This window comes from Homo sapiens, chromosome 12 (genome assembly GCF_000001405.40).
Source record: "Homo sapiens chromosome 12, GRCh38.p14 Primary Assembly".
Lineage (NCBI taxonomy): Eukaryota > Metazoa > Chordata > Mammalia > Primates > Hominidae > Homo > Homo sapiens.
The window spans coordinates 55,353,762-55,369,898 of record NC_000012.12 but is presented as its reverse complement, the minus strand read 5'-3'; the positions used below and the strand labels follow the sequence as shown (position 1 = coordinate 55,369,898).

At 37.2% G+C, this 16,137-nt stretch overlaps 1 protein-coding gene across 1 annotated transcript, besides 1 other annotated feature; it reads right to left on the bottom strand.

Moving 5' to 3' along the window:
- Positions 1–619: 619 nt before the first annotated feature.
- OR6C75 (olfactory receptor family 6 subfamily C member 75) lies at positions 620–6,924 on the bottom strand. The gene is made up of 3 exons (NM_001005497.2): positions 6,850–6,924; positions 6,017–6,106; positions 620–5,023 (listed from the first exon to the last, which is right to left on the bottom strand). The coding sequence occupies exon 3, from the start codon at positions 4,786–4,788 to the stop codon at positions 3,850–3,852; it is 939 nt and encodes a 312-aa protein (NP_001005497.1). The 5' UTR covers positions 4,789–5,023; positions 6,017–6,106; positions 6,850–6,924; the 3' UTR covers positions 620–3,849.
- Positions 14,264–15,041: an enhancer, noted in NCBI's record as "H3K27ac-H3K4me1 hESC enhancer chr12:55748642-55749419 (GRCh37/hg19 assembly coordinates)". NCBI's record gives its function as "activates a minimal SCP1, AML or CMV promoter by ChIP-STARR-seq in primed H9 embryonic stem cells {active_cell/tissue: H9 hESC(primed)}" and the evidence as "EXISTENCE:reporter gene assay evidence [ECO:0000049][PMID:30033119]".

Sequence of the window (16,137 nt, the reverse complement as noted above, 5' to 3'; positions counted from 1 at the left end):
AAAATAAAGCATTTACTAAAATTGTCTGATTGTATGATTTTACTTAGATTTTATGATCACTTTTATGATTAATGATTATAACATTTTTATTTATCAATAACTACCTGTTATTATGATCCAAAGAGAATCAGTGGTTTATGAATGATTATTACTCTGTTGAGAGCATTTTTAATATTTAAGATGAGTAATGTTCCAAGAGAATATGAATTAATGAAGTTCCAAATTACAGTAACATTGACATTTTCATTTTTAACAACCATTTATTTGCTAGAATCAATTTCCAAGATGATTTTTTACCAATGAAATTTAATAATTATTTATGATCTCTGTAACTTCAAAAAAATAAAGTGACAATAATTGCCATGTAACTTAAAACTGGTTATGACCCAGATATATTTTCTGTGAGCATTATACAAATGTAATTTTTCACATTGTTAAAATAAAAGTATTTTTTGAGATAGTACAATATGAACATCAAATACGAGTATAAACTTTTAATCAAAAACCTCTAAATACCTGACCTATTTTATGTATAAAATAATATTTATATAAAAATAAATAATAAATAATAGTGAATAATATTTCACCTTACAGCATAATAATACTACTTAAGGAAAGATTCATAGTGATTTTCATGGGTTTACATTTATTGAACATTAGAATCAACTTCTTCAGATAAGTTTTTGTGGATTAAGAAAATTTACTTTCCCTTACTCTCTAATTTTCCAGTTTCTCTTCTTTCCCTCTCTTTCCCTCTATCTCTCTTTATCTATCTATCTATCATGTAGTTGTATATGTATATATACTTTATCTTCACTTAGTTAACGTTTGCATGTTGTTTCCACACTCCTGATTTTCACTTTTGCATTTCTGCTTACTTGTTGTAATCTTAATAAAAGCAAACTTACAATGTCTCATTTCTTTACAAATTGCCACAATAAAGAATTCATAATGAAATAATCATGTAATCATTATCATGTAATTTTCATTTTGTGATGATATTATATTATAATCTGTTTTAAAAAAAAGTATGCCATTCCATAAAACACAATGGTAAGAAATAGACAAGTGCTGAAGGACGCTCACATCTATAAAAAAAAGTATTTGTCACAGACTTAGAAAACCTGTAGAGCTCTTTACATTCACCTGTATATCAGACAAAGCTGAAAATCAAGGAATCAAACTAAAATCCATTTATCCTGTATCTAGTCAGATTCATAGCTACTGTCCCAAGACAGCCAATTTTCTTTTCTTGTTTTAGAAATTTTAAAATAACTTTTTTATTTTGTTTTATTTTATCGAGATAGAGTTTCGCTCTATCGCCCAGGCTGGAGTGCAGTGGTGCAATCTTGGCTCACTGTAGCCTCCACCTCCTGTACTCAAGCGATTCTTCCACCTCAGCCTCTTAAGTAGCTGGGACTACAGGTGCATGCCAGCGTGACCAGCTAATTTTTGTATTTTTTGTAGAGATTGGGGTTTCACCATGTTGCTCAGACTTGTCTTGAACTCTTGTACTCAAGTAATTTGCCTGCCTTGGCCTCCCAAAGTGCTGGAATTACAGGCATCTTGTTTTTTTATTTTTAAGTAGAGATAGGGTCTTGCTATGCTGTCCAGGCTGGTCTTGAACTCCTGGCCTCAAGTGATCCACCAGCCTCAGCCTCTCAAAGTGCTGGGATTACAGGCGTGAGCCACCATGTTTGGACAACTTTTATTTATTTTTTTGAGACAGGGTCTCACTCTGTTGTCCAGGGTGGAGTGCAGTGGCATGATGAGAGCTCACTGCAGCCTCAACCTCCAAGGTCCAAGCAATTCTCCCACCTCATCTTCTTGAGTAGCTGGGACCACAGGTGTATGCTACCATGCTTAGCTAATTTTTAAATTTTTTTGTGTAGACAGAGTCTCACTATGTTGCCAAGGCTGGTCTTAAACTTCTGGGCTCAAGCAATCCTCCCCGCTTGGCCTCCCAAAGTGCTGAGATTTCGGGCATGAGCCACCACACCCAGCCAAGATTGCGTTTTTTATTTGGTTCTCAGCTTGAATGTTATTGGTGTATAGAAATGCTACTGACTTTTCTATGTTGATTTTATATCCTCAAACTTTACTCAAGTAGTTTATCAGGCCTAGGAGTTTTTTGGAGGAACCTTTAAAGTTTTTTAGGTACAGGATTATATTTTCAGTAAACGGAGATAATTTGACTTCTTCTTTTCCTATTTGGATGCCTTTCATTTCTCTCTCTTGCCTGATTGCTCTGGCTAGGGCTTTCAGTACTATGTTGAATAGGAGTGCTGAGAGGGGACATCCTTGTCTTGTTCCAGTTCTCAGGAAGAATGCATACAACTTTTGCTAGTTTATTATGATATTGGCTGTGGGTCTGTCACAGATGGCTGTTATTATTTTGGGCTATTTTCCTTCAATGCGTGGTTTGTTGAGTGTTTTTGTCATAAAGGGATGTTGGATTTATTGACTATTTTTTCTGTGTCTATTGAGATGATCATATGGTTTTTGTTTTTAGTTCTGTTTATGTGGTGAATCACATTTATTGATTCGTGTATGTTAAACCATCCTTGCATCCAGGTTTAAAGCCCACTTGATCGTGGTGAATTATCTTTTTGATGTGCTGCTGGATTCAACAACCAATTTTCTTAATGATACATGGGAGTTGAGGGACTCATTAACTATAGGAAGTGGGCTTGAACACATTTTTTACAGTTCTCAAATACCTCTAAAAGTCATTTTCTTGGATATAGGTGAGGGGAGTGAAACCTGTGAAGGAGACAATGGAAAGATAAATAAAATATTATAGGTTTACTAGAAAAGGAAAAACCAAGACATTAATAAACCACGTCATCATTCGCCGAATACCTTATAAAAGGGCAGTATCACACCATTGTAGACTCTTACTTTGTCATTTTCTTCATCATATCAGTAGTAAGGCAATTTTGTATCAATATAAGGAATCTGAACACAAATATGAATTGCCTTCATAGATCATGGTTTTTCTTTTAAAATATTGGCAGAAACAGAAAAGTTCTCTGTTAAATAATCTATTTTTAAGGAAATATTATCAAAGGAAAATATAAGATAAATAATATCAACTCTTTGATTACGCTTTGCTCTTTTTTTCTAGGAAAGCTAAGACAAAAAGTAATACAGCCTTAATTCAAACAACAGAGATAATATCTCTGCACATTTGTCTTACACTTTTATTTAATGTTTACACACATTTTAACTACATTTTATTGACAAATACAAGGAGACATTTTAATGATGCTTTTAGTTTTATAACATGTTTTTCCTGGTGACATTGAAGAAAAAATTTTAGATATATTAATTAAGATACATAGTTTAAACATTTCATATAAAATTAATTTCATAGTTGAATGTGGTTTTAGTAAGTTTTTAATTTATAGCTACCTCTATTTTATGAATGAAGAATCTATTTTGCCTTTATTTTATTATTATTTTTTATTATACTTTAAGTTTTAAGGTACATGTGCACATTGTGCAGGTTAGTTACATATGTATACATGTGCCATGCTGGTGCGCTGCACCCACTAACTCGTCATCTAGCCTTAGGTATATCTCCCAATGCTATCCCTCAATAAACCATAGTAATTATTAATTTACCTAAAATTTAGTTACATAGGTGAGAGAGCGAACACTTTCTATATAGTTTAGAAGAGCTAAATCTTGGTTTTTAGGCTAATTTCATTAAGAAGTGTTGATGATATGTAACTATGTCTAACTAAAAGTGTGAAATAAGGTGTTTAGAAAGAGTTCATGTAGAGAAGGGTAGAGAGTTTTTCATTCAGCTTTGCCTTTGGGGGTACATTTTTTACATAATCACATTCATTTATTTAAAGAAAAAATCATCTTCTGGACCATGCTCTTGAAGGCTTGCTTCACTTGCTTATTTCTCAGTGTGTATATGAAGGGATTCAAGAGAGGAGCCACTGAGGTATTGAGCACAGCTACTCCTTTGCTTAAAGTCACCCTTTCTCTGGCAGAAGTCTTAATGTACATGAAGATACAGCTACTGTAAGAGATGGAGACAACTATCATATGGGAGGAGCAAGTGGAAAAGGCTTTTTTCCTTTGACTCATAGAAGGAATTTTCAGAATTGTCCGGATGATGTTTGTGTAGGAGAGAATAACTAATGTCAAGGTGACCATCAGTGTTACCACAGCTAAAAAAAATGCCATGAGTTCTAGAAAGTGAGTGTTTGTGCAAGAGAGCTGCAGCATTGGAGAAGAGTCACAGATAAAATGATCAATTACATTGGAGGCACAGAAATCCAACTGCAGCAGAAGCATTACTGGTGGAAAGATGATCAGAAACCCTGCAAGCCAGGAGCTAAAGACAAGAAGGGTACACACTCTGGTGCTCATGATGATTGTGTAATGAAGAGGTTTGCAGATGGCCATGCAGCGGTCATAGGACATGGCAGCCAGAAGGTAAAATTCTGTCACCCCCAAGAAGATGAAAAAAAATAGCTGAGCCACACACCCATTATAAGAAATGGTTCTGTTTCCTGTCACAACAGTGACAAGGAATCTGGGAATGCAGACAGACGTGAATGAAATTTCCAGGAATGAGAAGTTCCGAAGGAAGAAATACATGGGAGTCTGCAGATGGGGATCTGAAAGGGTGAGGGTGATAATGATCAGGTTCCCAGTCACACTTAACATGTAGGTAACAAGAAGAAATATGAAAAGTACAACCTGCCACTGTGGGTCACTTGTCAATCCAAGAAGAATAAAGTCTGTTACTGCTGTGGAATTTCTCATTATTTTTTTCTTTAGAAAAGTATTCTGTATTTTCGCTGTAAAATAGGTGAAGAAACCAGAAAACTATGACACCAGTAAAGAAAATTATTATTTTTTTTCTGTCTGGCTCTTTCCATTTACCATAATGCCTTCCAGGTTCATCCGTAATGTCACAAATGGCAGTGTGGCAGTATCTCCTTCTTTTATGAGGCTGGATAACATTCCATTGTGTCTAGCTATCCGCTGATGCATCTATCTATTTAATACATATATATATATTCAATATCTTCAAAGGGTTTAAACTTGTAGTTATGTACGATGAATAAATCTAGAGAGCTAATGTATAGCACAAAGGCTACAGTTAGTAATGTATTATATAAGAAGGTAACTATGGGATGTGATGGATAGAATAATTTTGCTTGGAGGTAGTAATCCTTTCTCTATATATACACATATAGAAAGATTATGTTATATACCTTAAATATACACAATGAAACTAACTGTAGGCTGGGCGCAGTGGCTCATGCCTGTAATCCCAGCAGTTTGGGAGGCTGAGGCAGATGGATCACCTGAGGTCAGGAGTTCGAGACCAGCCTGGCCAACATAGTGAGACTTTGTCTCTACTAAAAATACAAACAATTAGCGGGGTGTGGTGGCAGGGGCTTGTAATCCCAGCTACTTGGGAGGCTGAGGCAGGAGAATTGCTTGAACCTGGGAGGTGGAGGTTGCAGTGAGCTGAGATCGCACCATTGCACTCCAGCCTGGGCGACAAGAGTGAAATTCCGTGTCAAAAAAAAAAAAAAAAAAAAAAAAAAAAAAGGAAAAGAAACTAAATGTAAAAAAAATTAACTTTAGGCAGGACACAATGACTCATGCCTGTAATCCCAGCACTTTGGGGGGCTGAGGCAGATGGATCACCTGAGGTCAGTTCGAGAACAGCCTGGCCAATATGGTGAAACCCCGTCTCTACTAAAAATACAAAAAAATTAGCCGGGCATGGTGACGCACGCCTGTAGTCCCAGCTACTCCAGAGGCTGAGGCAGGAGAATTGCTTGAACCCAGGAGGCGGAGGTTGCAGTGAGCTGAGATTGTGCCACTACACTCCAGCCTGGGCAATATATGCAGACTCCGTCTCGGAAAAAAAAAAAAAAAAGGACTTTAAAAAACTTCATTGTTGCTTTTTGCTTGTAGAGAAAAATGGTTTTGTAGTACATAGATACCAAATACATTTTAAAAATTCTGTTGTTACCTTATAAATCAATTATTTCTGTATTTCCTTCATTATATTTTTATATATTTCAGAATACATCTCTGTCTTCTAAATGTTTCAGTATATTCCCTGAAAACAAGAAAAAAGAAATTAAAACTTCTGAGATTAAGGCATTTTCAAATGAAGCTCATGAGAATTCATAGCCAGCATACTATGGTAGTCTTTGAAAATTTTTTGTTATTTTTCTCTTCATCTGTTTTGTTCTTTTTCTTTTGAATGAGGGTGGAGAAAGATATGCTTATTCAAAAGAAAAGAAAAAAAGAGAGCATCTCCTTCTCCATCCTCATTCAAATTTTTATAATCTACTTTTTATAATTGACTGAGTTGTAAAGACAACTCAGTCATCCAGAGACATGTCCCTGATAATGGTATATAGAAGTGTTTAGTGGACAGAAGATATCATATTCTTTACATTATCTTTTCTTTATATATTTCATTTAAATTGTGTGCTTTAATTTTACTTATATATAATGTGAATAACTGAATTTATATAAAACATAAATATAAGCTATTAAAGCAAAAATTATATTCCTGAAAAAACATACTTTTATGGTAAATATGAATGGTTTAGTGTATCTTATTTCAAAAGGTTTATTCATTGCTTAAACATAAATGCTGTTGGATTTTTCAAGAGCTTTTGCAATCTGTTTCTCCTCTATCATCTTGTATTTGTAACAAAATATCCAAAATATTGATAATAAAGAACAATTTCAAGAGCTTCTCTATAACGTTTACAAGAAGGGCATACATAAATACATTTTTATACATCAACCCAAATTTCACCAAGGATCTGAAGTCTCAAGATATCCTACCTATCGCCGCTTTAAAAAGTATTACCTTGATACAAATTTTAGTTGAAATGAAGGCTAATGTAGTGGCTTTCCGAGCTTGATAGGTAAGAAGAAATGATCTTCTGTGCAGAAGCAATGTTATTCAGGCTAGCCATGATTTTATCTACTGTATTTACAATGGACTCAGGGGGATTAGTTAAATGAACAAATAAAAGGTACCATGAAGATTGGCGTTCTCATGACACCAACCACTAAATAATAGTCCAAATTGGTATACAATTTGGAATAAAATATTTAGGTGATACAGAAGCCTGAAATTGGAGCAGAAAAATATAAAGAAGAATTTACATTTTTATAATAATCTAAAACTGCAGTAATAGAAGAAAATAAATAATGAAGTAAAAAAGATTCGTAGTCTTTAAATGGTAAACTACTAAACTGTGAATGAGTTGATTCTCTATTTTAGGGAAATGTTAAGAATTCGTTCTCATGTTTTAGAATGGGCCAGTGGTCTCCATTATTCCACATCATAAAAGATGTCAGACTTGTGTTTAAGGTTTTAAATTTTTCCATTGATGACAACATAGAAAGATTGTGATTATAATCACTACCATTTATTCGTTCAATATTTACCTTTTAAAGCTTGTAATGTGTTGGGCTCAGCCTTAGGTTGTGAGAATGCAGAGATGATAAAGATAGCTCTTAGCATAATTTTTACTTCTTGCAGAAAAGTGTGAAAATTCTACATTTTTTTGTAGGTATAAAATAAGGTTGCACCTTCATTAAAAAAAACACTTAAAGACTTCAAATGTCCATGTCCCCAGATAGGAATGTACTCTCCTTTAATGTCCTTGGGTAACATATGAATTTCCTTGAGGTGCTAACTTCATGCATCCTCACAGGTCCTTTGAAAGTTCTTCCTGCTGTGCTCCTTGTCCAGGGGTTATGTCCATAACTGTCCTGTCAGAGGATATCTTGAACCTGTTCTCACAGGAGCTTCTGCTTCTGGTATTACTCATCACCTCTGTTTCAGGGGATAGGTCACTGCTGCTTCCCCTGGACTTTCATATCTCAAGAAAATTACAGCTAGGTAAGAGGAATAAGCTCTCGTGTTCTATACGATGGTAGGATGGCTATAGTTAATAATAATACACTATACAGTTTCAAATAGCTAGAAAGAGGATATTGAATGTTTCCAATGCAGTCAAGTATGGTGGTTTGCACCTGTAATCCCAGAAACTCAGCAGGCAGAGGCAGGAGGATCCCTTGAGGCCAGGAGTTTGAGACCATTCTGAGCAATATTGTGAGACCCCGTCTCTAAAAACATTTTTTGAAAAAAATTAGCCAGGTGTGGTGGTGCACACCTGTAGTTCCAGCTACTCAGGCAGCTGAGGCAGAAGGACTGCCTGAGCCCAGGAGTTCAAGGTTACAGTGAGCTGTGATCACGCCACTGCACTCCAGCCTGGGTAACAGAGTGAGACCTAGTCTCTAAAAAATGAATAAACAAGTGTTCCCAACATAAAGAAATTATAAATGCCTGAGATGACAAATTTTCTAACTACTCTGATCTTATCACTACACATTATATGTATCAAACCATTACTATGTAACCTATAAATATGTACAATTTTATTTATCAGTTAAAAAAATAAAATGTTTTGTCTTTTGCCCACTTTTTTTCTGTCTTTTTTAAAATTATATTTTAAGCTCGGGGTACATGTGCAGAACATGCAGGTTTGTTACATAGGTATACACATGCCATGGCGGTTTGCTGCACCCATCAAACTGTCATCTACATTAGGTATTTCTACTAATGCTATCCCTCCCCTATCCCCACACCCCCTGACAGGCCCTGCTGTGTGATGTTCCTCTCCCTGTGTCCATGTGTTCTCATTATTCACCTCCCACTTATGAGTGAGAACATGTGGTGTTTGTTTTTCTGTTTCTGTGTTAGTTTGCTGAGAATGATAGTTTCCAGCTTCATCCACGTCCCTGCAGAGAATATGAACTCATCCTTTTTAATGGCTGCACAGCATTCCATGGTGTCTATGTGCTACATTTTCTTTATCCAGCCTATCATTGATGGACATTTGGGTTGGTTCCAAGTCTTTGCTATTGTGAACAGTTCCGCAATAAACACACGTGTGCATATGTCTTTATAGTAGAATGATTTATAATCCTCTGGATATACACCCAGTAATGGGATTGCTCAGTCAAATGGTATTTCTGGTTCTAGATCCTTGAGGAATCCCCATACTGTCTTCCACGATGGTTGAACTAGTTTACACTCCCACCAACAGTGTAAGAACATTCCTATTTCTCCACATCCTCTGCAGCATCTGTTGTTTCCTGACTTTTTAATGATCGCCATTCTAACTGGCGTGAGATGGTATCTCATTGTGGTTTTGACTTGCATTTCTCTAATGACCAATAATAATGAGCTTTTTTGTCATATGTTTGTTGGCTGCATAAATGTCTCCTTTTGAGAAGTGTCTGTTCAGATCCTTTGCCCATCTTTTGATAGGGTCGTTTGTTTATTTCTGGTAAATTTGTTTAAGTTCTTTGTAGATTCTGGATATTAGCCCTTTGTCAGATGGATAGATTGCAAAAATTTTCTCCCATTCTGTAGGTTGCCTGTTCACTCTTATGATAGTTTTTTTTTTTCTGTGCAGAACCTCTTAGTTTCACTGGATTCCACTTGTCTATTTTGGCTTTTGTTATCATTGCTTTTGGTGTTTTAAGTCATGAAGTCTATGCCCTTGCCTATGTCCTGAATAGTATTGCCTAGGTTTTCTTCTAGGGTTTTTATGGTTTTAGGTCTCACATTTAAGTCTTTAACTCATCTTGAGTTAATTTTGGTATAATGTGTGAGGAAGGGATCCAGTTTCAGCATTCTGCATGTTGCTAGCCAGCTTTCCCAACACCATTTATTAAATAGGAAATCCTTTTCCCATTGCTTGTTTTTGTCAGGTTTGTCAAAGACCAGATGACTGTAGATGTGTGGCATTATTTCTGAGGCCCCTGTTCTGTTCCATTGGTCTATATATCTGTTTTGGTACCAGTAACATGCTGTTTTGGTTACTGTAGCCTTGTAGTATAGTTTGAAGTCAGGTAGCATGATGCCTCCAGCTTTGTTCTTTTTGCTTAGGATTGTCTTGTCTATGTGGGCTTTGTTTTGGTTCCATATGAAATTTAAAGTAGTTTTTTCCAATTCTGTGAAGAAATTCCATGGTAGCTTGATGGGGATAGCATTGAATCTATAAATTACTTTGAGTAGCATGGCCATTTTCATGATATTAATTCTTCTTATCCATGAGCATGGAATGTTTTCCAATTGGTTTGTGTCCTCTCTTATTTCCTTGAGAAGTGGTTTGTAGTTCTCCTTGAAGAGGTCCTTCACATCCCTTGTAAGTTGTATACCTAGGTATTTTATTCTCTTTTTAATAATTGTGAATGGGAATTCACTCACGATTTGGCTCTCTGTTTGTCTGTTGTTGGTGTATAAGAATGCTTGTGATTTTTGTACATTGATTTTGTATCCTGAGACTTTGCTGAAGTTGCTTATCAGCTTAAGGAGATTTTGGGCTGAGACAATGGGGTTTTTCTAAATATACAATCATGTCATCTGCAAATACAGACAATTTAACTTCCTCTTTTCCTATGTGAATACACTTTATTTTTTTCTCTTGCCTGATTGCCCTGTCCAGAACTTTCAATACCATGTTGAATAGGAGTGGTGAGAGAGAAACTTGTGCAGGTTTTCAAAGGGAATGCTTCCCGTTTTTTCCTATTCAGTATGATATTGGCTGTGGGTTTGTCATAAATAGCTCTTATTATTTTGAGATACGTCCCATCAGTACCTAATTTATTGAGAGTTTTTAGCATGAAGGGCTGTAGAATTTTCTTGAGGGCCTTTCTGCATCTATTGAGATAATCATGTGGTTTTTGTCATTGGTTCTGTTTAGGTGATGGGTTACATTGATAGATTTGTGTATGTCGAACCAGCCTTGCATCCCAGGGATGAAGCCGACTTGACCATGGTGGATAAGCTTTTTGTTGTGCTGCTGGATTCGGTTTGCCAGTATTTTACTGAGGATTTTCGCATTAATGTTCATCAGGGATATTGACCTGAAATTTTGTTTTTTTGTTGTGTGTCTGCCAGGTTTTGGTATCAGGATGATGCTGGCCTCATAAAATGAGTTAGGTAGGATTCCTTCTATTTCTATTGTTTAGAATAATTTCAGAAGGAATGGTACCAACTCCTCTTTGTACCTCTGGTAGAATTCGGCTGTAAATCCATCTGGTCCTGGACAATTTTTGGTTGGTAAGCTATTAATTATTTTCTCAATTTCAGAGCCTGTTATTGGTCTATTCAGGGATTCAACTTTTTCCTGGTTTAGTCTTGGGAGTGTGTATGTGTCCAGGAATTTATCCATTTCTTCTAGATTTTTAAGTTTATTTGTGTAGGGGTGTTTATAGTATTCTCTGATCGTAGTTTGTATTTCTTTGGGAACAGTGGTGATATCCCCTTTATCATTTTTTATTGCATCTATTTGATTCTTCTCTCTTTTCTTCTTTATTAGCCTGGCTAGCAGTCTATCTACTTTGTCAATCTTTTCAAAAAACCAGCTCCTGGACTCATTGATTTTTTTGAAAGGTTTTTCGTGTCTCTCTCTCCCTCCATTCTGCTCTGATCTTAGTTATTTCTTGTCTTCTGCTAACTTTTGAATTTGTTTGCTCTTGCTTCTCTAGTTCTTGTAATGTTGATGTTAAGGTGTTGATTTTAGATCTTCTGTGCTTTTCTTGTGGGCATTCACTGCTATAAATTTCCCTCTAAACACTGCTTTAAATGTGTCCCATGGATTCTGGTACGTTTTGTCTTTGTTCTCATTGGTTTCAAAGAACATCTTTATCACTGTCTTAATTTTGTTATTTATCCAATAGTCATTTAGGAGCAGGTTGTTCAGTTTCCATGTAGTTGTGTGGTTTTGAGTGAGTTTCTTAATCCTGAGTTCTAATTTGATTGCACAGTGGTCTGGCGGACTGTTTGTTATAATTTCCATTCTTTTGCATTTGCTGAGGAGTGTTTTATTTCCAATTATGTGGTCAATTTTAGAATAAGTGTGATGTGGTACTGAAAAGAATGTATATTCTGTTGATTTGGGGTGGAGAGTTCTGTAGAAGTCTATTAGGTCTGCTTGGTCCAGAGCTGAGTTCAAGTCCTGAATATCTTTGTTAATTTTCTGTGTCATTAATCTGTCTAATATTGACAGTGGGGTGTTAAAATCTCCTACTATTATTGCTTGGGAGTCCAAGTCTTTTTGTAGGTCTCTAAGAACTTGCTTTATGAATATGGGTGCTCCTGTATTGGGTGCATATATATTTAGGATAGTTAGCTCTTCCTATTGCATCGATCCCTTTACCACTATGTAATGCTCTTCTTTGTCTTTTTTTATCTTTGTTGGTTTAAAGTCTGTTTTATCAGAGACTAGGATTGTAACCCCTGCTATTTTTTGCTTTCCATTTTCTTGGTAAATATTCCTCCATCCTTTTATTTTGAGCCTCTGTGTGTCTTTGCACTTGAGATGGGTCTCCTGAATACAGCACACTGATGGGTCTTGACTCTATCCAATTTGCCAGTCTGCATCTTTTAATTAGGGCATTTAGCCCATTTACATTTAAGGTTAATATTGTTATGTGTAAATTTGATTCTGTCATTATGATGCTAGCTGGTTAGTTTGCCCATTAGTTGATGCAGTTTCTTCATAGTGTCGATGGTCTTTACAATTTGGTATGTTTTTGCAGTGGCTGGTACTGGTTGTTCCTTTGTATATTTAGTGCTTCCTTCAGGAGCTCTTGTAAGGCAGGTCTGGTGGTGACAAAATCTCTCAGCATTTGCTTGTCTGTAAAGGATTTTACTTATCCTTTGCTTATGAAACTTAGTTTAGCTGGATATGAAATTCTGGGTTGAAAATTCTTTGCTTTAAGAATGTGAATATTGGCCCCCACTCTCTTCTGGCTTGCAGGGCTTCTGCAGAGAGATCCGTTGTTAGTCTGATGGGCTTCCCTTTGTGGGTAACTAGACTTTTCTCTCTGGCTGCCCTTAACATTTTTTCCTTCATTTCAACCTTGATGAGTCTGACGATTATGTGTCTTGGGGTTGCTCTTCTTGAGGAGTATTTTTGTAGTGTTCTCTGTATTTCATGAATTTGGATGTTGCCCTGTCTTGCTAGGTTGGGGAAGTTTTCCTGGATAATATCCTGAAGAGTGTTTTCCAACTTGGTTCCATTCTCCCTGTCACTTTCATGTACACCAATCAAACATAGATTTGGTCTTTTCACATAGTCCCATATTTCTTGGAGGCTTTGTTCATTCCTTTACATTCTTTTTCTCTAATCTTGTCTTCTCACTTTATTTCATTAAGTTGATCTTCAATCTCTGATATCCTTTCTTCTGCTTGATCGATTCAGCTATTGATACTTGTGTATGCTTCACAAAGTTCTTGTGCTGTATTTTTCAGCTCCATCAGGTTATTTATGTTCTGCTCTAAAATGGTTATTCTAGTTAGCAATTCGTCTTACATTTTTTCAAGGTTCTGAGCTTCCTTGTGTTGGGTTAGAACATGCTTCTTTAGCTCAGAGGAGTTTGTTATTACCCACCTTCTCAAGTCTACTTCTGTCAATTCATCAAACTCATTCTCCATCCAGTTTTCTTCCCTTGCTTGCGAGATGTTGTGACCATTTGGAGAAGAAGAGGCATTCTGGTTTTTGGAATTTTCATCCTTTTTGTGCTGGTTTCTTCCGATTTTTGTGGATTTAACTACTTTTGGTCTTTCATGTTGGTGACCTTCGGATGGGGTCTCTGAGTGGATGTCCTTTTTGTTGATGATAATGCTATTTCTTTCTGTTTGTTAGTTTTCCTTCTAACAGTCAGACCCCTCTGCTGCAGGTCTGCTAGAGTTTGCTGGAGGTGCACTCCAGACCCTGTTTTCCTGGGTATCACCAGCGGAGGCTGGTGAACAGCAAAGATTGCTGCCTGTTCCTTCCTCTGGAAACTTTATCCCAGAGAGGCACCTGCCAGATGCCAGTCAGAGCTCTCTGTATGAGGTGTCTGTTGACCCCTACTGGGAGGTGTCTCCCAGTCAGGCTACACAGGGGTCAGGGACCCCCTTGAGGAGGCAATCTGACCCTTAGCAGAGCTTGAGCGTTGTGCTGGGAGATCCGCTGCTCTCTTTAGAGCCATCAGGCAAGGACGTTTAAGTCTGCTGAAGCTGCCCCCATAGCCACCCCTTCCCCCAGGTGCTCTGCCTCAGGGAGATCGGGTGTTTATCTATAAGCCCCTAACTGGGCTTGCTGTCTTTTTTTCAGAGATGCCCTGCCCAGAGAGGAGGAATCTAGAGAGGCAGTCTGGCCACAGTGGCCTTGCTGAGCTGCAGTGGGCTCCGCCCATTTCAAACTTCCCAGTGGCTTTGTTTACACTGTGAGGGTAAAACTGCCTACTCAAGGCTCAGCAATGGTGGATTCCTCTCCCCCACCAAGCTTGAGCATCCCAGTTCGACCTCAGACTGCTGTACTGGCAGCAAGAATTTCAAGCCAGTGTATCTTAGCCTGCTGGGCTCCGTGGGGGTGGGACCCACTGAGCCAGACAACTTGGTTCCCTGGCTTCAGCCCTCTTTCCGGTTCTGTCTAGCTGGTGTTCCAGGTGACACTGGAGTATGGAAAAAAAAAAAACAAAAAACAAAAAACTCCTGCTGCTATCTCAGTGTCTGCCCAAACAGCCACCCAGTTTTGTGCTTGAAACCCAGGGCTCTAGTGAGGTAGGCACGAGAGGGAATCTCCTGGTCTGCAGGTTTTGAAGACCATGAGAAAAGTATCCGGGCTGGAGTGCACCATTCCTCATGGCACAGTCCCTCATAGCTTCCCTTGAGTAGAGGAGAGAATTTCCCAACCCCTTGCATTTTATGGGTGAGGCGACGTTCTCCACTGCTTCGGCTCACCCTCCATGGGCTGCTCCTACTGTCCAACCAGTCCCAATGAGATGAACCGGGTGCCTCAGTTGGAAACTCAGAAATCACCACCTTCTGCATTGATCTCGCTGGGAGCTGCAGACCAGAGCTGTTCCTATTTGGTTTAGAAACCCTGTAATTTGGCTAACTTGCAAGCAGATGAATTGCTGGCAAGATGGCCAAATAACAGTGTTTCTAAACAATGTATGGCCACCTTCATGAGGCAGAGAAATATGGATTCTTGTGTTGGTAAGGGAGGCTGGTGGTGCTTTCAAATTCAGGTACTCAAAATCTTCTGAAACTAGTCTCATTCCAGTGCTCAATCCCAACTCTTTCACAGTCAACACACTAACATTTACATAGGTATAGACGTTGTAAATTAAATCAACTTTATAATTGAGGAAACTTAGGATTTATTATTGGCTATGTCATCTCTGCAGTTATGAGATAATTGAAATATTAAAATAATGAGATAATTAAAACATTAAAATATGAGATAATTGAAACATTAAAGTTACATTTTCTCTCTTTAAGCTCTTCAATGCACTTAGAAGCACAGCCTAATGCATAAGCCATCAGTCTGCATGAGAATGGCTCCTCAGGAATTCAGCACTATTGCCGCAAGCTTCAGGGTCACCTGCACTTGCTATGATCTGCATCAGCAATATAGATGACTAACTGAGTTAAAAGTTCTTTTATGAATGTATCTGATTAGCAGAACCAAATCACATTGCAATGGAAAATGTGGTGCTTACAGTGTCTGCACATAGATAGGCTTATTTGAAGGTATTCGAAAGATGCAAAATGAGCAAATACATAACATTTTTAGAGTAGTAATACCCAGAAGAGAAATTTAAATAATTTATAACAATAAATTAACTAAAATTTACTGTAATCCTCAATTTACAGATGAGAAAACTGGGATGCTTTAGTTGTGATTAAGGGAGCTCCACATAATATATTAATACAAGGCAGTTGTTCTATTGACATTCTTGGGCTGCATAAAGCTGAAATATTTTTGAATAAATTGTATGTGGATGGTTGTATGTTATTAAATTAAAATTGGCATTATAATAATAGTAACAGTCACACTTTGTTAAGTGCTCGGAAGGTATCAGACGTGTTTGTAAGCACTTTTTAAAGTGTTGTTTTAATAAATATTCACGACTACTCTGAGAAAATTAGTATTATTTCTCCTAATTTTCATATAAGGAAACTGAGTCATTCAGAGTTTTCCTAATTTGCCTGAGGTCATACAAATGGACTGTGATTTCTGAGATTTTAATACAGTGAATGAGGGAGTA

What these genes read in the sequence shown, in the direction of transcription:
- OR6C75 (NM_001005497.2), bottom strand. Translation starts at nt 4,788, where the DNA reads ATGAGAAATTCCACAGCAGTAACAGACTTTATTCTTCTTGGATTGACA.